Source organism: Homo sapiens, chromosome 1, assembly GCF_000001405.40.
Source record: "Homo sapiens chromosome 1, GRCh38.p14 Primary Assembly".
Taxonomy (NCBI): domain Eukaryota; kingdom Metazoa; phylum Chordata; class Mammalia; order Primates; family Hominidae; genus Homo; species Homo sapiens.
Window position 1 is genome coordinate 116047229 of NC_000001.11, and position 25597 is coordinate 116072825.

The following is a 25597-nucleotide window of genomic DNA, read 5'->3' on the forward strand; positions in this document are numbered from 1 at the left end:
CCAGCCTGGCCAAGATGGTGAAACACCGTCTCTCCTAAAAATATAAAAATTAGCCAGGCATGGTGGCACGCAGCTGTAGTCCCAGCTACTCGGGAGGCTGAGGCAGAAGAATCGCTTGAACCCGGGAGGCGGAGATTGTCATGAACCAAGATCGTGCCACTGCACTCCAGCCTGGGCGACAGAGCGAGACTCCGTCTCAAAAAACAAACAAAAATCCCCACAAAAGCTAAGAACCCTCACGGAGTCCATTGCACCCTCCTGGCACCTCCACCAGAACAGGCACTGTTATCCACGGCTGAGAGACCCATAGACAGTTCACATCACAGGACTCTATAGAGACAACCCCCAGTTCCAGCCCAGAGCCAGGTAGACTCACTGGGTGGCTAGACCCAGAAGAGAGACAACAATCACTGCAGTTTGGTTCACAGGAAGCCACATCCATAGGAAAAGGGGGAGAGTACTACATCAAAGGAATACCCCGTGAGACAAAAGAATCTGAACAGCAGCCTTCAGCCTAGACCTTCCCTCTGACAGATAAAAGGTTAGTTATTAAATTGAGGCACCAGGAAAAGGCAAAGCCCAATGCAAGGAACTCCAAAAAATGATACAAGAAGTGAAGGGAGAAATATTCAAGGAAATAGATAGCTTAAATAAAAAACAGTGAAAACTTCAGGAAACATTGGACACACTTATAGAAATGCAAAATGCTCGGGAAAGTCTCAGCTATAGAATTGAACAAGCAGAAGAAAGAAATTCAAAGCTCTAAGACAAGGTTTTTGAATTAACCCAATCCAACAAAGACAAAGAAAAAAGAATAAGAAAATATGAACAAAGCCTCCAAGAAGTCTGGGGTTATGTTAAATGACCAAACCAAAGAATAATTGGTGTTCCTGAGGAAGAAGAGAAATCTGAAAGTTTGGAAAACATATTTGGGGGATTAATCAAGGAAAACTTCCCTGGCCTTGCTAGAGACCTAGACATCCAAATACAAGAAGTACAAAGAACACCTGGGAAGTTCATCACAAAAAGATCATCACCTAGGCCCATTGTCATCAGGTTATCTAAAGTTAAGACAAAGGAAACAATCTTAAGAAACTGTGAGACAGAAGCAGCAGGTAACCCATAAAGGAAAACTTCTCAGATTAACGGCAGATTTCTCAGCAGAAACGCTACAAGCTAGAAGGGATTGGGGCCCTGTCTTCAGCCTCCTCAAACCGAACAATTATCAGCCAAGAATTTTGTATCCAGTGAAATTAAGCATCATATATGAAGGAAAGATAGTCTTTTTCAGACAAATAAATGCTGAGAGAATTCGCCACTACCAAACTACCACTACAAGAACTGCTAAAAGGAGCTCTAAATCTTGAAACAAATCCTGGAAACACATCAAAACAGAAACTCTTTAAAGCATAAATCACACAGGACCTATAAAACAAAATACGAGTTAAAAAGCAAAAACAACAAAAAACCCAAGGTAGACAGGCAAAAAATAGCACAATGAATGCAAGGGTACCTCATGTCTCAATACTAACATTGAATGTAAATGGCCTAACTGCTCCACTTAAAAGATACAGAACTGCAAAATGGATAAGAACTCACCAAGCAACTATCTGCTGCCTTAGGAGACTCACCTAACACATTAAGGACTCACATAAACTTAAGGTAAAGGGGTGGAAAAAGGCATTTCATGCAAATGGACACAAAAAGTGAGCAGGGTAGCTATTCTTATATCAGACAAAACAAACTAAAGCAACAGTGGTTAAAAGAGACAAAGAGGGACATTATATAACGGCAAAAGCCCTTGTCCAACAGGAAAATATCACAATCCTAAACACATATGCACCTAACACTAGAGCTCTCAAATTTATAAAACAATTACTAATAGATCTAGGAAATGAGATAGACAGCAACATAATAATAATGGGGGACTTTCAGTACTCCACTGACAGCACTAGACAGGTCATCAAGACAAAATCAACAAAGAAATAATGGATTTAAACTATACCTTGGAACAAATGGACTTAACAGATATATACAGAACATTTCATGCAACAACCACAGAATACACATTCTATTCAACAGCACATGGAACTTTCTCCAAGATAGACTATATGATAAGCCCTAAAATGAGCCTCAATAAATTTAAGAAATTTGAAATTATATCAAGCACTCTCTCAGACCACAGTGGAATAAAACTGGAAATCAACTCCAAAAGGAACCTTCAAACCCACGCAAATACATGGAAATTAAATAACCTGCTCCTGAATGAGCATCAGGTCAAAAACAAAATCAAGATGGAAATTAAAAAATTCTTCGAACTGAATGACAGTAATGGCACAACCTATCAAAACCTCTGTGATACAGCAAAGGCAGTGCTAAGAGGAAAGTTCATACCCCTAAACACCTACATCAAAAAGACTGAAAGAGTACAAAGTGGCATTCTAAGGTCACACCTCAAGGAACTAGAGAAACAAGAACAAACCAAACCCAAACCCAGCAGAAGAAAGGAAATAACCAAGATCAGAGCAGAACTAAATGAAACAAACAAACAAACAAATATGAAAGATAAATGAAACAAAAAGCCAGTTCTTTGAAAAGATAAATATAATTGATAGATCATTAGCAAGATTAACCAAGAAAAGAGAGAAAATCCAAATAACCTCATTAAGAAATGATACAGGAGACATTACAACTGACACCACTGAAATACAAAAGATCATTCAAGGCTACTATGAACACCTTCACACACATAAACTAGAAAACCTAGGAAGAGATGGATAAGTTCATGGAAAAATACAACCCTCCTAGTTTAAATAAGGAATAATTAGATACCCTGAACAGACCAATAACAAGCAACGAGATTGAAATGGTAATTTAAAAATTACCAACAAAAAAAAGTCCAGGACCAGACAGATTTACAGCAGAATTCTACCAGACATTTAACAAACTGATACCAATCCTTTTGACACTATTCCATGAGACAGAGAAAGAAGGAACCTTCCCTAACTCATTCTATGAAGCCAGCATCACCCTAATACCAAAACCAGGAAAGGACATAACCAAAAAAGAAAACTACAGACTGATATCCTTGATGAACATAGTTGCTAAAATCCTTAACAAAATACTAGCTAACCAAATCCAACAACATATCAAAAAGATAATCCACCATGATCAAGTGGGTTTCATACCAGGGAAGCAGGGATGGTTTAACACATGCAAGTCAATGTGATACACCATATAAACAGAATTAAAAACAAAAATCACATGATCATCTCAATAGATGCAGAAAAAGCATTAGACAAAACCCAGCATCCCTTTATGATTATAACTCGGCATACGAGGGACATACCTCAATGTAACAAAAGCCATCTATGACAAACCCACAGCCAACATAATACTGAAAAGTTGAAAGCATTCCCTCTGAGAACTGGAACAAGACAAGAATGCCCACTCTCACCACTCCTCTTCGACATAGTACTGGAAGTCCTAACCAGAGCAATCAGACAAGAGAAAGAAATAAAGGGCATCCAAATCAGTAAAGAGGAAGTCAAACTGTCACCGTTTGCTGATGATATGATTGTTTACCTCAGAAATCCTAAAGACTCCTCCAGAAAGCTCCTAGAACTGATAAAAGAATTCAGCAAAGTTTCTGGATACAAGATTAATGTACAGAAATCAGTAGCTCTTCTATACACCAATGGCAGCCAAGCAGAAAATCAAATCAAGAACTCAACCCCTTTATGGTAGCTGCCAAAAAATAAAATACTTAGAAATATACCTAACCAAGGAGTCAAAAAACCTCTACAAGGAAAACTACAAAACACTGCTGAAAGAAATCATAGATTACACAAATAAATAGAAAAACATTCCATGTTCATGGATGGGTAGAATCAATATTGTGAAAATTGCCAAAAACAATCTACAAATTCAATGCAATCCTCATTAAAATACCACCATCATTCCTCACAGAATTAGAAAAAACAATTCTAAAATTCATATGGAACCAAAAAAGGGCCCACATAGCCAAAGCAAGACTAAGCAAAAAGAACAAATCTGGAGGCATCTCACTACCTGATTTCTAACTATACTATAGGGCCATAGTCACCAAAACAGCATGATAGTGGTATAAAAATAGGCATATAGACCAGTGGAACAGAATAGAGAACTCAGAAATAAATCCAAATACTTACAGCCAACTGATCTTCAAGAAAGCAAACAAAAACATAAAGTGGGGAAAGGACACCCTTTTCAACATATGGTGCTGGGATAATTGGCTAGCCACATGTAGGAGAATGAAATTGCATACTCATTTCTCACCTATACAAAAATCAGCTCAAGATGGATTAAGGACTTAAATCTAAGACCGGAAACTATAAAAATACTAGAAGATAACCTTGGAAAAACCCTTCTAGATATTGGCTTAGGCAAGGATTTCATGACCAAGAACTCAAAAACAAATGCAATAAAAACAAAGATAAATAGTTGGGACTGACTGTACAACTGTATCAGCTGCTCGTAGGACATGTCCAGCAGCTGCTCGAGGTCCACACCGCGGTGATACATCCTCTTCACAGACTGCAGAAAAACAGCAGATTTGTGATTTAACTGGGAGTTTTCTGGGATCAAACAGTAGCTTTGTTTACAGTCCTGGGTATGTCTTTATCAGCGGCATGAAAACAGACTAAGAAGGAGGAGCCAAGATGGCCGAATAGGAACAGCTCTGGTCTACAGCTCCCAGCGTGAGCGACGCAGAAGATGGGTGATTTCTGCATTTCCATCTGAGGTACTGGGTTTATCTCACTAGGGAGTGCCAGACAGTGGGCGCAGGACAGTGGGTGCAGTGCACCATGCGCGAGCCGAAGCATGGCTAGGCATTGCCTCACTCGGGAAGTGCAAGGGGTCAGGGAGTTCCCTTTCCTGGTCAAGGAAAGGGGTGACAGATGGCACCTGGAAAATCGGGTCACTCCCACCCGAATACTGTGCTTTTCTGACGGGCTTAGGAAACCAGGAGATTATATCCCGCACCTGGCTCGGAGGGTCCTACGCCCACGGAGTCTCACTGATTGCTAGCACAGCAGTCTGAGATCCAACTGCAAGGTGGCAGCGAGGCTGGGGGAGGGGCGCCCGCCATTGCCCAGGCTTGCTTAGGTAAACAAAGCAGCCGGGAAGCTCGAACTGGGTGGAGCCCACCACAGCTCAAGGAGGCCTGCCTCCTTCTGTAGGCTCCACCTCTGGGGGCAGGGCACAGACAAACAAAAAGACAGCAGCAACCTCTGCAAACTTAAATGTCCCTGTCATTTTGAAGAGAGCTTTGAGGAGAGCAGTGGTTCTCCCAGCACGCAGCTGGAGATCTGAGAACAGGCAGACTGCCTCTTCAAGTGGGTCCCTGACCCCTGACCCCCGAGCAGCCTAACTGGGAGGCACCTCCCAGTGGGGGCAGACTGACACCTCACACGGCGGGCTACTCCTCTGAGACAAAACTTCCAGAGGAATGATCAGACAGCAGCATTCGCGGTTCACGAAAATCTACTGTTCTGCAGACACCACTGCTGATACCCAGGCAAACAGGGTCTGGAGTGGACCTCTAGCAAACTCCAACAGACCTGCAGCTGAGGGTCCTGTCTGTTAGAAGGAAAACTAACAAACAGAAAGGACATCCACACCAAAAACCCATCTGTACATCACCATCATCAAAGACCAAAAGTAGATAAAACCACAAAGATGGGGAAAAAACAGAGCAGAAAAACTGGAAACTCTAAAAAGCAGAGTGCCTCTCCTCCTCCAAAGGAACGCAGTTCCTCACCAGCAACAGAACAAAGCTGGACGGAGAATGACTTTGATGAGTTGAGAGAAGGCTTTAGACGATCAAACTACTCTGAGCTACAGGAGGAAATTCAAACCAAAGGCAAAGAAGTTGAAAACTTTGAAAAAAATTTAGACGAATTTATAACTAGAATAACCAATACAGAGAAGTGCTTAAAGGAGCTGATGGAGCTGAAGGCCAAGGCTCGAGAACCACATGAAGAATGCAGAAGCCTCAGGAGCTGATGTGATCAACTGGAAGAAAGGGTATCAGTGATGGAAGATGAAATGAATGAAATGAAGTGAGAAGGGAAGTTTAGAGAAAAAAGAATAAAAAGAAACGAACAAAGCCTCCAAGAAATATGGGACTATGTGAAAAAACCAAATCTATGTCCGATTGGTGTACCTGAAAGTGACGGGGAGAATGGAACCAAGTTGGAAAACACTCTGCAGGATATTATCCAGGAGAACTTCCCCAATCTAGCAAGGCAGGCCAACATTCAGATTCAGGAAATACAGAGAACGCCACTAAAATACTCCTCGAGAAGAGCAACTCCAAGACACGTAATTGTCAGATTCACCAAAGTTGAAATGAAGGAAAAAATGTTAAGGGCAGCCAGAGAGAAAGGTTGGGTTACCCACAAAGGGAAGCCCATCAGACTAACAGCGGATCTCTTGGCAGAAACTCTACAAGCCAGAAGAGAGTGGGGGCGAATATTCAACATTCTTAAAGAAAAGAATTTTCAACCCAGAATTTCATATCCAGCCAAACTAAGCTTCATAAGTGAAGGAGAAATAAAATACTTTACAGACAAGCAAATGCTGAGAGATTTTGTCACCACCAGGCCTGCCCTAAAAGAGCTCCTGAAGGAAGCACTAAACATGGAAAGGAACAACCGGTACCAGCCGCTGCAAAATCATGCCAAAATGTAAAGACCATCGAGACTAGGAAGAAACTGAATCAACTAATGAGCAAAATAACCAGCTAACATCATAATGACAGGATCAAATTTACACATAACAATATTAACTTTAAATGTAAATGGACTAAATGCTCCAATTAAAAGACACAGACTGGCAAATTGGATAAAGAGTCAAGACCCATCAGTGTGCTATATTCAGGAAGCCCATCTCACATGCAGAGACACACATAGGCTCAAAATAAAAGGATGGAGGAAGATCTACCAAGCAAATGGAAAACAAAAAAAGGCATGGGTTGCAATCCTAGTCTCTGATAAAACAGACTATAAAGCAACAAAGATCAAAAGAGACAAAGAAGGCCATTACATAATGGTAAAGGGATCAATTCAACAAGAAGAGCTAACTATCCTAAATATATATGCACCCAATACAGGAGCACCCAGATTCATAAAGCAAGTCCTGAGTGACCTACAAAGAGACTTAGACTCCCACACAATAATAATGGGAGACTTTAACACCCCACTGTCAACATTAGACAGATCAACGAGACAGAAAGTTAAACAAGGATACCCAGGAATTGAACTCAGCTCTGCACCAAGCTGACCTAATAGACATCTACAGAACTCTCCACCCCAAATCAACAGAATATACATTTTTTTGAGCACCACACCACACCTATTCCAAAATTGACCACATAGTTGGAAATAAAGCTCTCCTCAGCAAATGTAAGAGAACAGAAATTATAACAAACTGCCTCAGACCACAGTGCAATCAAACTAGAACTCAGGATTAAGAAACTCACTCAAAACTGCTCAACTACATGGAAACTGAGCAACCTGCTCCCGAATGACTACTGGGTACATAACGAAATGAAGGCAGAAATAAAGATGTTCTTTGAAACCAACGAGAACAAAGACACAACATACCAGAATCTCTGGGACACATTCAAAATAGTGTGTAGAGGGAAATTTATAGCACTAAATGCCCACGAGAGAAAGCAGGAAAGATCCAAAATTGACACCCTAACATCACAATTAAAAGAACTAGAAAAGAAAGAGCAAACACATTCAAAAGCTAGCAGAAGGCAAGAAATAACTAAAATCAGAGCAGAACTGAAGGAAATAGAGACACAAAAAACCCTTCAAAAAATTAATGAATCCAGGAGCTGGTTTTTTGAAAGGATCAACAAAATTGATAGACCGCTAGCAAGACTAATAAAGAAAAAAAGAGAGAAGAATCAAATAGACGCAATAAAAAATGATAAAGGGGATATCACCACCTATCCCACAGAAATACAAACTACCATCAGAGGATACTACAAACACCTCTACGCAAATAAACTAGAAAATCTAGAAGAAATGGATAAATTCCTCTACACATACACCCTCCCAAGACTAAACCAGGAAGAAGTTGAATCTCTGAATAGACCAATAACAGGATCTGAAATTGTGGCAATAATCAATAGCTTACCAACCAAAAAGAGTCCAGGACCAGATGGATTCACAGCCAAATTCTACCAGAGGTACAAGGAGGAACTGGTACCATTCCTTCTGAAACTATTCCAATCAATAGAAAAAGAGGGAATCCTCCTTAAGTCATTTTATGAGGCCAGCATCATCCTGATACCAAAGCCGGGCAGAGACACAACCAAAAAAGAGAATTTTAGACCAATATCCTTGATGAACATTGATGCAAAAATCCTCAGTAAAATACTGGCAAACTGAATCCAGCAGCACAGCAAAAAGCTTATCCACCATGATCAAGTGGGTTTCATCCCTGGGATGCAAGGCTGGTTCAATATAGGCAAATCAATAAATGTAATCCAGCATATAAACAGAACCAAAGACAAAAACCACATGATTATCTCAATAGATGCAGAAAAGGCCTTTGACAAAATTCAACAACACTTCATGCTAAAAACTCTCAATAAATTAGGTATTGATGGGACGTATCTCAAAATAATAAGAGCTATCTATGACAAACCCACAGGCAATATCATACTGAATGGGCAAAAACTGGAAGCATTCCCTTTGAAAACTGGCACAAGACAGCGATGCCCTCTCTCACCACTCCTATTCAACATAGTGTTGGAAGTTCTGGCCAGGGCAATTATGCAGGAGAAGGAAATAAAGGATATTCAATTAGGAAAAGAGGAAGTCAAATTGTCCCTGTTTGCAGATGACATGATTGTATATCTAGAAAATCCCATTGTCTCAGCCCAAAATCTCCTTAAGCTGATAAACAACTTCAGCAAAGTCTCAGGATACCAAATCAAAGTACAAAAATCACAAGCATTCTTATACACCAATAACAGACAATCAGAGAGCCAAATCATGAGTGAACTCCCATTCACAATTGCTTAAAGAGAATAAAATACTTAGGAATCCAACTTACAAGGGACGTGAAGGACCTCTTCAAGGAGAACTACAAACCACTGCTCAATGAAATAAAAGAGGATACAAACAAATGGAAGAACATTCCATGCTCATGGGTAGGAAGAATCAATATCATGAAAATGGCCATACTGCCCAAGGTAATTTATAGATTCAATGCCATCCCCATCAAGCTACCAATGACTTTCTTCACACAATTGGAAAAAACTACTTTAAAGTTCATATGGAACCAAAAAAGAGCCCACATCGCCAAGTCAATCCTAAGCCAAAAGAACAAAGCTGGAGGCATCACGCTACCTGACTTCAAACTATACTACAAGGCTACAGTAACCAAAACAGCATGGTACTGGTACCAAAACAGAGATATAGATCAATGGAACAGAACAAAGCCCTCAGATGTAACGCCGCATATCTACAACTATCGGATCTTTGACAAAGCTGAGAAAAACAAGACATGGGGAAAGGATTCCCTATTTAATAAATGGTGCTGGGAAAACTGGCTAGCCATAGGTACAAAGCTGAAACTGGATCCCTTCCTTACACCTTATACAAAAATTAATTCAAGATGGATTAAAGACTTAAACGTTAGACCTAAAACCATAAAAACGCTAGAAGAAAACCTAGGCATTACCATTCAGGACATAGGCATGGGCAAGGACTTCATGTCTAAAACACCAAAAGCAATGGCAACAAAAGCCAAAATTGACAAATGGGATCTAATTAAACTAAAGAGCTTCTGCACAGCAAAGGAAACTACCATCAGAGTGAAGAGGCAACCTACAAAATGGGAGAAAATTTTCGCAACCTACTCATCTGACAAAGGGCTAATATCCAGAATCTACAATGAACTCAAACAAATTTACAAGAAAAAAACAAACAACCCCATCAAAAAGTGGGCAAAGGATATGAACAGACACTTCTCAAAAGAAGACATTTATGTAGCCAACAGACACATGAAAAAATGCTCATCATCACTCGCCATCAGAGAAATGCAAATCAAAACCACAATGAGATACCATCTCACACCAGTTAGAATGGTGATCATTAAAAAGTCAGGAAACAACAGGTGCTGGAGAGGATGTGGAGAAATAGGAACACTTTTACACTGTTGGTGGGACTGTAAACTAGTTCAACCATTGTGGAAGTCAGTGTGGCGATTCCTCAGGGATCTAGAACCAGAAATACCATTTGATCCAGCCATCCCATTACTGGGTATATACCCAAAGGACTATAAATCATGCTGCTATAAAGACACATGCACACGTATGTTTATTGCGGCACTATTCACAATAGCAAAGACTTGGAACCAACCCAAATATCCAACAACGATAGAGTGGATTAAGAAAATGTGGCACATATACACCATGGAATACTATACAGCCATAAAAAATGATGAGTTCATGTCCTTTGTAGGGACATGGGTGAAATTGGAAATCATCATTCTCAGTAAACTATCGCAAGGACAAAAAACCAAACACCACATGTCCTCACTCATAGATGGGAATTGAACAATGAGAACACATGGACACAGGAAGGGGAACATCACACTCTGGGGACTGTTGTTGGGTGGGGAGAGGGGAGAAGGATAGCATTAGGAGATATACCTAATGCTAAATGACGAGTTAATGGGTGCAGCACACCAACATGGCACATGTATACATATGTAACTAACCTGCACATTGTGCACATGTACCCTAAAACTTAAAGTATAATAATAATAATAATAATACTGAAAAAAAAAGAAAACAGACTAATACATAAAAAAAATAGTTGGGACTTAATTAAACTAAAGAGCTTCTACATAGCAAAAGGCACAGTCAGCAGAGTAAACAGACAACCCACAGAGTGGGAGAAAATCTTCACAATCTGTACATCTGACAAAGGACTAATATTCAGAATCTACAACAAACTCAAACAAATCAGTAAGGAAAAACAAACAATCCCATCAAAAAGTGGGCGAAGAACATGAATAGACAATTCTCAAAAGAAGATATACAGATGTCCAAAAAACATGAAAAAATGCTCAACATCACTAATGATCAGGGAAATGCAAATGAAAGCCACAGTGCGATACCATCTTACTCCTGCAAGACTGGCCATAATCAAAAAATCAAAAAACAGTAGATGTTGGCATGGATGCGGGTGATCAGGGAACACTTCCACACTGCTGGTGGGAATATAAACTAGTACAGCCACTATGGAAAACCGTGTGAAGATTCCTTAAAGAATTAAAAGTAAAACTACCATTTGATCCAGCAATCCCACTACTGGGTATCTACCCAGAGGAAAAGAAATCATTATTCAAAAAAGATACTTGCACATGCATGTTTATAGCAGCACAAATCCCAATTACAAAATCGTGGAACCAACTCAAATGCTTATCAGTTAACGAGTGGATAAAGACACCATGGTATATATACAATGGAATACTACTCAGCCATAAAAAGGAATTAATTAATGGCATTTGCAGTGACCTGGATGAGATTGGAGACTATTATTCTAAGTGAAGTAACTCGGAATGGAAAACCAAACATCGTATGTTCTCACTGATATGTGGGAGCTAAGCTATGAGGACGCAAAAGCATAAGAATGATACAGTGGACTTTGGGGACTTGGAGGGAAGCGGGGCAAGGAATAAAAGACTACAAATAGGGTGCACTGTATACTGCTCGGGTGATGGGTGCAACAAAATCTCATAAATCACCACTAAAGAACTTACTCATGTAACCAAATACCACCTGTACCTCAATAAATTATGGAAACTAAAATAAAAATAAAAATGAAACCACAGTGGGATGCCACAGGACACTGATTAAAATGACAAAAATTACAGAGACCGCAAGTGTTGGTGATAAAGAGGAACTGTAACTCATATACATTGCTAGTAAAAATACAAAATGGTATAGACACTTCAGAAAATGTTTAGCAGCTTATTTTAAAGTGAAATATACACTTACTATATGACCCAGCTTTACTCATGAGAAGTGGAAACCTAGATCCACACAAAGACTTTGATGCAAATGTTCATAGTGGATTTATTAATAATAGCCCCAAACTGGATGGAACTCAAATGCCCTTCAGCTGATGAATGGATAAACAAATTGTGGTATATCAATATAATGGAATATTAGTCAACAACAAAAAAGGAAAGAACTATGTCCTACTGTGCTGAGTGAAAGAAACCACACACAAAAGTCTACAAACAGTATTATATTATTGTGAAATCCTTGAAAAGGTGAAACTATGGTGACAGAAGTTTGTGTGTATATGCTTTTTATAAAAAGCCAGAGGGAAGCAAAATGCATTGTGATTCTTACCCCATTTATGTATCATAGCAGAGGACCTGTACCTGTCTTAAAGATTTTTAACATGTGAACAATCAAAATGAACAATTTTCTTGTAATCACACAGTGAATGAGTGGATGTGAAAGTTGAATTTTTTGCCATTTTGGGTCAGTGAAATGTGACTATATCATACTAAGACATTTTTTGCTGGTGATCCCAAATGGTATCTGGAAAACCTTCCAGAAAAATAGTTCTGAAAATGATGTCTGTAGTAGTCGCATCATTGGAATAAATGTATAACCTCCTTGAGTTAGTATTTGAAGTATACAAGTGTTTTTTGAGATTTCCTTTTTTAAAAAGATAGTTTAGTTTTGCTTATGTCTTTTAAATCGCTCTTTTTTCTCGACCATCACTTTGGACATTCATTGGTAACAGCCAATAATATCTGATTTTCAGATAAAGAATCCAGGGAACCAGTCTAACGGCTGCAAAGCCTTCCTGAGTATTTGCCAGGACAAACAGCCCAGCAGCCCCACAGGCAGGAGTCCCAGAAAGAAAAAGAAATAATTTTCTCATAACCAAAACTGTCTGAAATGGACATGGGCTATTTTGAGGAAAAAGTGAATTACCCTGGTTTAAATGGCAACTGCAGACCCCATTGGCAGGCACATACGAGAGAAGTTTTAAGCATCAGATGGGGTATTGGACTAATGCACGCATTCTGTGGACATGTAGCTGGAGCCAGGCTTCCCAAATGGGCTACAGCTGGAGCTATCCTGACCCTATCATGGAAAACTTCATCTAGCTTTGGATCTTGTGGGTATTAAGAAGATACACTTTCTGTGACACACCCTTGGAATCCAGATTTCAAGGATGGCAGTTCTTTAGCCTGTTGTTAAAGATGTATAGTGCCTCCATACAGTTCTGAAAGATACCATTCTGTATGGGTTGAAAACAGTCCCAGAGATCATTTGCAATCAAGCATATGTGCGTATTTCTGTTTGGTTCAATGCCTCCCAATACCTTTTCCCAACTCATTCTGTTTCCTGGAAAATAATTGATGAATTTAATTTGCCCTCATTATTGGTTTAAGTGAAAATGTTGTTAGATCTCAAAAGTTGAGAAACATATCTCAGGGTAAATGCTGAAAGACATGATTCTTTATCAGAAGCACCTTGTGGCTTAAAAATATATATCCAGGACTTAGAAGAGCTAACATCGTCTTCCAAATAGCCTGGCAGAAGAGTTTGAGAAAGCAGCTCCAGAAGGTGGAGTCTGGCAGAGTCTGGACTACTCTGTTCAAGACACACTCTTTAAAGAAGATTTATTTTATAGTTAAGCAGGGAAGGTGAAACTTATTTTTTGGACTGGGGCATGTCTATGCCTCCCTCCTTTCAAGTTGAGAGAGCATGAACACAGGTTCTATTCACTAAATTAATCCCTCTTGTAGTCCTTCCACTTATTAGTTCAGCAGATATTTAATGAGCACCAGTGTACATAGTGCTATGGGAGGTGCCTTGAGGAACACGAATACAAGGAAGTTACCAACCTGGGTCTGAGAGAACTCGAAATCCCAATTTGGACAGGCAAGATGGAAAAGTAAGCAGCCACAAGGCAGTGTCTGAGGCACGCCAGTTGAATGGATTGGAAAGTAGGGGCAGTGGAGGTTGAAGGAAAGAGAGCATATTTCATTTGAGCTGCTTAGGGGAAGAGTGGTTTCTGTGAGCCATACATTCCAAAGGAAGGAACGAGAGTGTTCTCTTTGGCAGAAATGTCAAGGAGAATGAGAGGCAATTACATTTGGTGATGAGGACATTGCTGCTGACCTTCAAGAGTAGGAATTTCAGGAGAGGATGGTATGGAAGCCAGATTGTAGTAAGTTGCCAGGACAGGTGCATTGGAGAAAATGGAGTGGTGGTCATTCACTGGGACGTTTGATAGGGAATGGCAGGAAGTACAACAGAGTCAGTGAGAACTTTTTTGCCTCATAAGAAGTAAATTGTTATTTTGAAGGTAGAGGCAAATGATTATTGAAGGGGAGAGGTTAAACTTTTCTAAAAAAAAAAAATCATTAAATTGTAGAATCCCAGAAAGTATAATGTTAATAAAGGAAAAAAAATAAGATAATTGTTAGCATTTTTGGTAAAGAAATGAACTGACATAAAATATATTTTTTGCATTTTAAATAAAAGCATTACATTAAGAAACTAAAATATTACTATTGATTAGTAATTCAAGTGAGAAGTTGAGGAGTAAAAGTAATTTCATATTTAGATTCTTGTTATTTAAAGAACATCGGCTGGGCGTGGTGGCTCACACCTGTAATCTCAGCACTTTGGAAGGCTGAGGCAGGTGGATCACCTGAGGTCAGGAGGTCAAGACCAGCCTGGCCAACATGGGGAAACACTGTCTCTACCAAAAATACAAAAATTAGCTGGGCGTAATGGTGGGTGCCTGTAATTCCAGCTACTCGGGAGACTGAGGCAGGAGAATCGCTTGAGCCCAGGAGGCGGAGGTTGCAGTGAGGTGAGATCGCGCTGTGGCACTCCAGCCTGGGAGACAAGAGCAAGACTCTGTCTCAAAAAACAGAAAGAAAGAACATTAATGTCTTTGATCTTCTGATAGTAATTGAATGGCATTGTTCCTTACCTTCTCAATGAAACACCAGAGAATGCAAACTGCATATAAGAGCTTTTCTGGAGCTTACCTCTGTCTCATGTACTTATCAGGGCTTGTTGTGCAGACCACTGTTTTACGTCATTGATTATGTGAGTAAGAGGGAAGAAAGGAGAGTCAAGTTACACCCTTGGAAGATGAAACTTATAATTTCCATGAAGCTTACTTTATGACAGTACAGAAGTTTTCAGGGTACTCTGTCATTCAGGAGTGAGTGAAAGTTTATCACACTTAATGACACCACTATGTAAGTTTCCAAGGGTAGAGCCAAAACACTGAGAAAATAGATGCATGTGTTGTGTGATTACTAAACCTTCTGAATGTGTATTTGGTTACACTATCTCTTTGCTCTTTGAGATCAACATGAATGCCACCTGCTCCATCAAAATGAAATGTGCCATTTAGAGGAATTGTTTCAACTGTGGGTCTCACAGGCATTGCCCTTGTCCTCCTCAGACACAGGTGTGTTTGCAGTGGTGAACAGCCATTCCTTGTCCTTGCTGGGGAAGCTGACCATCAGTGCTGCCTTTAACATTGTTTATATCTACACCTCTGAGCTTTACCCTACAGTCATCAGGTACGTGTCTCACACAGCCTCATTCTTCACACATTCTACACTTTGTCATCCATTCTTGCACCAACAGAGGTGTGGTACTCATTTCATCTGCTTCTGGAGTTAGTTTGGGGCAGCAGTAATTCAGCAAGCAGTTTAGGGTGAGAGCTTGCCTTGGCAGACTGCTCTCTGCCTGCTCTGCTAGGAAAATGTCACTTTATGGTGGACTGAATTCCTTAGTGTAAGTTGTAAGAGAAGTACTCTATGCTAGGCATATTCTGTCACCCAAACAGTGCACAGATGCTATTATTATTTTGGTGAATTTTATTTATTCAGTCACCCATCCTGCATCACACATCACAGACATGGGGACAAGCTCCCTATTCTCACAGAGCCTACATTTTAACACAAAATACACACATTTTTAGAAGATAATTTCATATAGTAATAAGTGAATATCAGAGTTAAACAGCAATTGTTAAAACTGGGTTCTTAATGAATAGGATATGTTTATATTGAAAAGAATAAATATCCAGCCTAAATTTCCCTTCATAAAATAAGTCTGAAAGCAAGAAACACACCCAAATTTGAAGGATGGGGGTGCAGCTGAGGCTTTGCAGAACTGCTTCTGTGGCCTGGGCAGGTATTCGCTCAGCCAGCTCTTTCTCAGTCTTTTAGAGGATCATTCCAAACAATCCTTCTCCTTCCCTTATCCATGCAAGAAGCTTCATGGTTCTTTCTGCCTGTTAATTTAAAATTATTTTTCCTAGTAAGAGAGCAGAGTGTCTGCAATTGGCTAGTAATTTCCTAGCTGGTCCTATAACCTACTTTACCTGGCTACTGGCTATAAAACTAGGATGATGATTTTGTCCACTCTGGGACAATTTTGAGAGCAAATGTGGGTATGAACTTTTCAGCTGGGATTACAGAGTGCTGTATCCCTCTACCCAAAACCATTAATTATCATTCTCTCTCCCTCCCTCCCTCTCTCCTTCCTATCTTTTTTATGCCTGCACTCCCCATAAAGGTGTTCTTGGTTTCCTGACAGTACACGCTTAGTCAATTTCTATTTATATGATTGACCTGTTAATTGTTAATTAGTTAGTTGAGTTTAAATAAATGAGCAGCCTTTTCAGATCATAAAACCCTGGCAGTCTGTAGGAGATCTAAGGCATGAAAATCCATGAGAACTTTTAACTTAAAAATATTCAAATGCTCATTTCTATATCATCCTTTGTGGATCCACTGTCCAATATGGTAGTTACTGGCTTCATGTAGCTATTTAAGTGTAAATTAATTAAAATTAAATAAATTAAACATTCAGTTCTTCATCCTTCCTGGCTGCATTTCAAGCACTCAGTAGTGCTTGTGTCTAGTGGCTTCCACATTGGACTGGGTAATTATAGAACATTCCTAGCATCTCAGGAACATCTAGTAGGCAGCTCTAGAACCCACTGTTCTCTAGGATCCTGTGCTTCCACTTCAGGACATGTTATTCAAGGCCCGCTGCTGCCCCCCAAGGGTCTCTTAATTCCTCCGCTAGAACTTACTGATGTATTTTTACTTATGCTTTTCAGGAATGTTGGGCTTGGAACTTGTTCCATGTTCTCCCGAGTTGGTGGGATTATTGCTCCCTTCATCCCCTCACTGGTTGGTTTGTACCTTCTAGTTTTGTTTTTCTTGATTCTCTGCTTTGGAAATGCTTATGCTTTTTAGTAGAAAGAGGTGATGAACAGATGTCATTTAAGATCAGCTGACACAAATGTGAACCTTGGCCCTTTTAGATAGTATTCCGTCAGGGCAGATGGACTCTTATCGAGGATTCATTTGCCTCCAGTGGGTCTGATTTTTTGTTCATCTGGATTTGTTGGAGGGTCTGCTAATGCCAGTGTGCCCCATTCCTGTCCCCATGAAAAAGTTAGTCAACTAATAAGTATGTATGACACTTCTGCTGTGTGCTGGGCTCTATGCCAAGCACTTTCTACATATCATCACATGCAGTCCTCATAGTAACCATAAGAGGAAGGCATTGTTGTTACCCCTGTATTAAATATGAGACATGCTACAGAGAGGTTAAATACCTTCCCCCAAGAACACACCTCCTGGAAAATAACATTAGAGGAGAAATATGTCTCTCACTGTGTCTGTTAATATTTTTTTTTTGAAACTTTCTAACTTGTATAGTCAAAGAAAGGGAACCAGATTAAATGACAGCCCTAAAATCCTTCATCTTAAAATGCTCAGATTCTGTGAAAGAACCCAGGGGACCCCTACGCAAGTCTCTCCTTGGTTTGATTTGTGACTTTCCACAGCCAAGACTTTTTGAAAGCAACTAGATTTGATGTGGGACTTGTGGACCTGTTCTGTAGACAACTGTTCATTACTTAGGCAGGTCTCTGAAATGCCATTATAACCTTTTCATTTTCTGAGGTGCAGTACATTTCCCTTCTCAGAGTATCTCTCTCCATGTCTCATGATTAATTTTAGTTCACAAGACCCTTCTCCTAAAGGAGTCATGTAGGTCTGTGTTTTATTCTGCAAAATATAGGTACTGTTAGAGATATCTGACTTTGGATAGCTATCCTACAACATTATAATACCCAGCACTGTGTCTCTGTTGCTTCCTACAAGGTTAGAAGAAGGGAAAGTGTGTGTTCCCCTTGTTTCAACAACAGGCCCACAGTGCTGGACATATGTTTGAGTGTAGATGGCTAGAGATGAGAGATTCTCCTCCTCCCTCTTCCTCCTCATCCCTGTCTTCTGCTCGGTTCTCTCCATCTCTCCCTTCTCCTCCCCCTTCTCCCTTTTCCACCTCCTTCTCCATCATCTCTTCACTTTGAAAAATCAGGAAAAAATTGTCTGAGGGGAAATCCTAATTAGTAGTGGACCTACCCACGAAATTTGGAAGCCTAAACCAGAAGATCATAAAGCTTAGCAGGAATTCTAAAATGTTGATCAGCTCAGAAAAGCCCCAGAGAAACACCCTGGAAGCAACTGTTTTTCATGTTTTCTTTGAATCTCTTTGTGATGAAATGTTTCCGTTTTCCTGAGAATATGTTTTGGATCTCTGAAACAATTGCTTGTATCACCAGCCCTTAACCATGTTCAGTTTAGAAGTTTATAAGCCATATGTATGTCGTAGGGTTGGTTTTTTAAAAGAGTTTTTACACCTTTAATCCCTGGAACTCTCAGTTACGGTCTTAAGGTATATAGGATGGTTTGGCCAATTCCAGGATTAAGAACTTTAAAGTTCATCATCAGCAAGTATTTTGGGATGCCTCTGTGCAAAGTGTGCTCACCTGGAATGGAAGCTGAACTACAAGATGTCCTGTCAGCTCTGGCCATATAGGCCTGCCTGCTCAGAGGCAGCCTGGCCTCTTCTCCTACAGTACCCACCCCGGACATGAAATTGCTGCTTCTAATGTACAGACTAGTGCTGTCCTTTTATTTACTCACTCCCATCTCTACATGCCTGAGGAATCATTCTCTGATTTCCCAGGATAATTCTTTATGTGGAAAGAAGTGGCTTATAGTGTTGTCTAGTGCGAGGTCATGAACTAGGTGGTAAACATGACAGTTTTTCAGTCATGAGACTGCTTGTATTACATGCTAAGGAAACTAATTCTCTGGTTTATTTTCATTCCACTCCCCGCCTCTGCAGAAATATGTGCAATGGTCTTTACCATTCATTGTCTTCGGAGCCACGGGTCTGACCTCCGGCCTCCTGAGTTTGTTATTGCCGGAGACCCTTAACAGTCCGCTGCTAGAAACATTCTCCGACCTTCAGGTGTATTCGTATCGCAGGCTGGGAGAAGAAGCATTATCTTTACAGGCTTTGGACCCCCAACAGGTGTGATATTTTTCTTAATTATTATACCGCTTGGATAGTGGCAGTTAATGAAAAAAAGAAGGTTTGCGTTAAATTAAATAGAACTGAGTAAAACTGCTGGAAAACAAAAGTGGGATCTAACAGCAGCTGATTTTCAGAGAAATAAGGATGATCGATGATTCATTAGCTTTCCTAGAATATTTTAGGGGCTATTTCTTGGGGGAATGAATGTCATATAAATACATTTGTCAGTTGAATAGCTAGATGGTAGTTTCCATTTCAGAAATGTCATAACATCATTTCACTGCCCTTTTCTTCTTTCCTGTTTCAGTGTGTGGACAAGGAGAGCTCTTTAGGGAGTGAGAGTGAGGAAGAGGAAGAATTTTATGATGCAGATGAAGAGACTCAGATGATCAAGTGAAGAGCCCCAGATTCCCCCTAAGAAGCAAAGGATCGTCTTTTATGCCTCTGGCTAAGGCAGGTTCTTCCATGACTCCTAAGAGAGTTGTAAAAATAGAGGCTTGGCTTGAATGTACATAGATGGTACCTGGCATGGACTGATGTTTTTAGGCACAGAAGTTGGAGAAGAGATTTCATGAAAGACAACATCACTGCATTGAGAGAATAGTTGTTAATTTGTTTAGAATTTAAGTTCTACTCAGAATCATAACATCTGGCAGAACAGCCCAAACCCACATTCCAAAGTGGTAGGCTCATTTGTTTCTAGAGATTTCATCATGTCGCTTTTCCTTCATCATGATCTAAATAAAGGCAGATATGTAAAATTTCTCACCATTTTGGTGGGGTAAGATAAGCTATTATTAAGATTTAATCCTTATACCATGTTGGACATTTGCCCCTATCAGTTGCTCCTCAGGAATCTTCTGGTACAGGTTAACATCAGCATTTTCATTTTGTGTCCAGGGAAAAGCACCCAGAGGTCATCTGTGTGTCCCGAGACCCTCCAGCTTTTTCTTAGCTGATGAAATATGAGTCCTCAGCTTGGTTCCCAGCCTGCTGATTGACTTGGGCTGCTGGTGCCTTGAGTCCCACAGATGATTCATTAGGAAAAGCCAGATATACCAAAGCGGTTTACTCAGAGTCAGGGGTGTAGCTCTGGCTGCCTGTCAGCTCCCTTGGATACTATATTGTATGATTTCTTCCTTTCCCACTAATATGCACATCCAGAAAAATTTCCATCTGAGATTCTAGTACTTCAAAATCATGCATAGTAAATGAGAAAGCTTTAAGTAGAGGGCAGTTAAACAGTGACATGTTGAGCACCTGGAGGAAAAAAAAGGTGCAGTTTTTAATAAGAGAGAAAATGAAATTATCTTTGATAAATTTTTGTTTGTTTTGCTTTCAGCATTGTGCCATGAGGGATTTGGACAATATTTAAGAACTTCTTGTCCTAGATCAGCCCCAATCTGTTTAATCAAAATGGAAGGTTCAGTAATTTCATGGGAAACCTTGGTTTTTCATTAAGTGCTACCAACTTTCAAGTGAATCTTGTATTTGATTTCCTAAAATCATGTCTTGAAAACATGTTTTCTCATGAAACTTGAATACTATCTCAAATAGGAATATAAACCTGGAGTCAACAAGCTTAGGCAGCATTGATTTAGGTCACTTTCCCAGTGAGGAAAATTTCTGTGTTTTCAGAATTTCCATTTCTACTAACCTCTTGGAGAAAAAGAAATTGAATTAGAGGTAAATAGAAGACGTCACTGTGGCTGCTTCTGGAAGTGCTGGAAGCATCACCCCAATTGGCTCCAAATACTGTCATGTTTTCTTGCACACTGACTTCTGGTTTCCACTGTATCAGTATGTACCTTTGTAATTGTTATTTTTATGTCTTTTATGCCCTTGATTATTAGTTGGGCTCTTCATAAACAGAGGCCATCTCTACTACTGTTTATTTTTCCCTGCTGTGCCCAGAACATTGGCGTAGACACAGTAAGAACCTAGTAAATATTACTGTTTCTAGCCATCAGGGAGATTGTGGAACTCCTCCCAGTATAATTTTTACAAACTCCAAGCAAATCTGACCCAAACTCCCAAATTGTCAAGTCCTGCTTAACTTTCTCTGGAAAATAGACCCCTTCTCAACATCAGAATAGGAAGAGAGGAAGAACTTACAAAGACACTTAAAAGTTATTCTTAAATGGTGGTTGGGCATTTAAAACAGTGAACTAACATATATATAATTTTTGATTAGTTGGAGCTTTCTTTGTATTATAAGAGTAATATATCTCATTACAGAAAATTTGGAAACTATAAATTTAGAAACGTATCACCCATACGTCCAACATCGAAAGAAAACCAGTGTTATGACTTTGTTCCATTTGAAGACTAATTGGGAGTCCATCTCTCTATTGGCACTGGGTTCGATTGCCTCTGGCTAATAGAGTTCAATTAGTTCTATCCCTGGGTTTCCTTTCTTAGCTATGGGGTGGAAGATAGGAGGGGGAGATCTACAATTTGAATATGTGTTACTTAATAAGGCTAGGCTGGCCATCAGTTGCTTATTTCAGATGTGTCACTAAATTTTCCTTCTAGATGGTCCTTGAGCAAAACTTAATAATTACTGTTTTTTATTTCCACTGCCTTTATAAAATCAAAATTTTCTCCTTTTGATAAAAACTGTTGAATACTATTGATGTAGAGAATGTGTATATGTGTATATTTGCATTGATTAAATTATTGGAAAACTTTTCATTGACAGGTAATGTATTTTGGTTGTGCGGATGGTTTGTAAAAAGTATCCTGTTTTTTTAATTCTATTCAAAATTAAAAATTTTTTTTCCTAAAATAAAGCAAGAAAAATAAATGTAAGATATATAAGAAACCCCAGAGTTTCCAGGGTGAAAGTTCACATTAGCAGCTTGTCCAAAATATTTACACCTCACAAATATTTTGAAAGAAACCATGTTGAAATTTTCTGATTTTGTGAGTTACAACCACAGCCCAGTAAAACCAATACTTGTTATTTGGCTACTTTCAAGCAATGCAGATATTCTTTAGTATTTAAAAATGAGCAAATAAACAAAATGAGGCAAATAAATGAAGAAAATGAGTTTCTGAGACACTGTTTAGGTAACCATAAATCAGACAGATATTTTTATGGTGGGCAAATTGATGAAGATACTTTTAGTAGGTGATTTATATTCATAACAAATACATATTGAAATAATTGTCACTACTGTATCAGAATTAAAAACCAGCTTCACATTAGGACTTCTCCATACAAATGCTTTATCATTGGTTCTTAAATTGGAAAAATATCTATAAATGATTACATTTTTAAGCTAAATAAAATGCAGATATTTTGGCTTCTTGTGAATGTAATAAAGAATCATAAAACATAGACCTTTTTTTTGTTCTCCCAGAATGTCTCAAAATCTACAGTAGTAGCTTTGACAAGTTGGGCAAATGCAGAACCTGCTAGTAAAGTTAAGTAATATGTGGGACAGGGGTTGTAGGAAAGTTGTAGACTGATGGACACAAAAGTTAACTATCAAAATACTTTTAGAATGAGGAATATGCAAAGACAATGCATTGTGGAAAATCCATCAATGTAGTACATCAAAGGAGAAAGAGCTTATGATTACCTCAATAGAAAAATAAACATTATTTGATGAAATTCAACATCCATTCAAAATAAAAGCTATTAGCAGAGTAGGAATAAAAGGATGCTTCCTTAATAAAATAAGAGATACTATAGTAGATATGGTAAACTGGCACACAGCATCTCTTCACCTTCCTGGTACCTTGGCCTTCAGCCTTTTTTTTTTTATCATAACCCACAGTAAGAAATGCATTTTACATATTCATCGTGTCATACTTCCCCACCTACAAATATATATGTATATATAAAATATCTATGAATCATAAAAATGTATATATTTTATGCAATAATACTTAATCTTGCTAGGCATACTGATAACTTATGTTCTATTTCACTTTTCAAAATGCCATTTATAACTCAATAAATGGATATCATGACTCGCTAATAGGTTGCAACCCATAGTTTGAAATCCACTGCTCTACTCTATCTTCTTATACTACAGAAGCTTTAAAGCTAAAATGTACATTTTCTGAATTTCTTGCAGATAAGTTTACCCCTTGCAGCCAGGTGCAGTTTGGTTTCCTTCAATCAGATACAAATGGAGCTTGGAAGGTAGAAGCAAGGTGGAGGCCATACTTTTGATGAGTATGCTTTTTTCTGCTCAGATTCACAGTGCTGGAGCCGTTTGGTTTCTCTGAGGCAGTATCAGCCAGAGATGTTGTCAGTTGGGCAATACTGATTAAAATCTTAACAAGATTTTTTAATAAACCTGGAATAATACTTCTGGTATTCAAATGGAAAAGCAAAGATCCAAAAATATTCAAGACAATTCTGATAAAGAAGAACAAACAGAAGGGACTTGACTTTCTAGATATAAAAACTTATGAAGCTGTATTATTGGTCAGCAGTAGACAAATAGATCAATAGAACATAACAGATTTGTTAAAGATAGCATGACACATTAGAGGAAAAAGTGAACAATTATTGATACTAAATCTTCTCCCCATAATAAAAATAAATTCCAAATAGATTGAAGGCCTCAATGAAAAACAGCAAAACTTTAAAACTATTTGAAAATTATAGAATATTCTTATGACCTTGGAGGATGGATAGATTTATCAGACAAGAACTGAAAATTATAAATTATTTTTTAATTGATATATTTGACTTGATCTAAATTTAAAACTTGTTTCTGTATGACTGAACATGCTACAAAGTTAAAAGGAAAGCAGCCTGGGCGCAGTGGCTCATGCCTGTAATCCCAGCACTTTGGGAGACCAACATGGGCAAATCACCTGAGGTCAGGAGTTTGAGACCAGCCTGGCCAACGTGGTGAAACCCCATCTCTACTAAAAATACAAAAAAAAAGTTAGCCAGGTGTGGTGGCATGTACCTGTAATCCCAGCTACTCAAGAGGCTGTGGCCAGAGAATCGCTTCAACCCGGGAGGCGGAGGTTGCAGTGAGCCAAGATCACACTGCTGCACTATAGCCTGGGCAACAAAGCAAGACTCCATCTTAAAAAAAAAAAAGAAAGCAATAGATTAGGGCAACATTTATAAGCAATAAGGATTAATATCCAGACTATATAAAGATTTACTGCAAATCAGAGATAAAAGTAATAAAGTTTACAAAAACTGTGATTAGGCAATTCACGATTCACAGATGAAAAGATGCTCAACCTCACTACAGGATCAGGGAAATGCAAACTGAAACCACATGAAGATATCTTTAAAAATCCATTAGATTGGGAAAATAAGAGAATATCAAATGTTAAAGCTATGAAGAAAAAGGAATTTAGTGACATCCTGATAGAAGCATAAATTTATTCATCAACTAGGTTGTCATTAGCAAGTAAGGCTGAAAATGTACATAGTCTAGGATTCAGAAATTCTGCTTCTATGTATGTATCATGAAAGAGTATTTTCAGAAAATTTTACTATAACCCACTGTAAAGAAAATGTTTTATACTGTGACACACAGTACACACACCTACATACATACCCACGTGTGTGTGTGCATATATATAATTGAAATGGTGTTATAAAACAATACCTTCACTTAATATATGCACTGCATTATATTTTCTGTTTTATTTCATTTCATAAGGAATACTAGTGAAGACACACAAAAATGATTTCACAGTTTTGAATGGATCAAAACATGCAGTTGGAAAAAGTGAAACATACTACCCTTAATATTTGCCTTGGTACTTGCCTGATATACATGTGTACAAGAGATTTTTACAGAATGTTCATTGCAGCATTGTTAGTTGTAATAAAACAATGGAGGTAAATACCTTCAGTAGGGAAATGTATGTATATAATTTCATATGCATAGGATGAAGTAAAAACATAGTTCTATGATTTAGGTGGTTGGATCTCAATAATGTTGAACAAAATGTTGGCAAATTTTTATTGGATCAAAGTCCTTTCATGTTTAAATTTTCCAGTAAATGATTGGAGTACTTGCTAATTAAAGGGATTTAAATGCTTTTCATGTCATACTTTAAAGTCAAGACTATTGATATTCTGTTACAAAAATATAGAAATCTCACTCTTATTCCTCCCAG

General features: G+C 38.8%; 1 protein-coding gene across 11 annotated transcripts in view, besides 2 other annotated features; it reads left to right on the forward strand.

Annotated features, from left to right (window-relative positions):
- Positions 1-22826, forward strand: part of SLC22A15 (solute carrier family 22 member 15) — a 93542-nt gene extending 70716 nt beyond the window's left edge. For 8 of the 11 annotated variants that reach the window (XM_047424416.1, NM_018420.3, XM_047424412.1 and 5 more), the window contains 4 exons: positions 15534-15654; positions 17208-17280; positions 19292-19480; positions 19791-22826. In XM_047424416.1, coding sequence (XP_047280372.1) covers positions 15534-15654; positions 17208-17280; positions 19292-19480; positions 19791-19880 — 473 coding nt within the window. In that variant the 3' untranslated portion in view covers positions 19881-22826. Of the gene's footprint in view, positions 1-15533; positions 15655-17207; positions 17285-19291; positions 19481-19790 lie in introns of those variants that run through there. The other 3 variants (XM_047424411.1, XM_047424414.1, XM_047424415.1) reach the window with 3 other exon arrangements.
- Positions 821-1322: an enhancer, noted in NCBI's record as "NANOG hESC enhancer chr1:116590670-116591171 (GRCh37/hg19 assembly coordinates)". NCBI's record gives its function as "activates a minimal SCP1, AML or CMV promoter by ChIP-STARR-seq in naive H9 embryonic stem cells {active_cell/tissue: H9 hESC(naive)}" and the evidence as "EXISTENCE:reporter gene assay evidence [ECO:0000049][PMID:30033119]".
- Positions 19472-20671: an enhancer, noted in NCBI's record as "MED14-independent group 3 enhancer chr1:116609321-116610520 (GRCh37/hg19 assembly coordinates)". NCBI's record gives its function as "activates an origin of replication core promoter dependent on BRD2, BRD4, P300/CBP and CDK7 cofactors, and independent of MED14, by STARR-seq in HCT116 cells {active_cell/tissue: HCT116}" and the evidence as "EXISTENCE:reporter gene assay evidence [ECO:0000049][PMID:35650434]".
- Positions 22827-25597: the final 2771 nt, after the last annotated feature.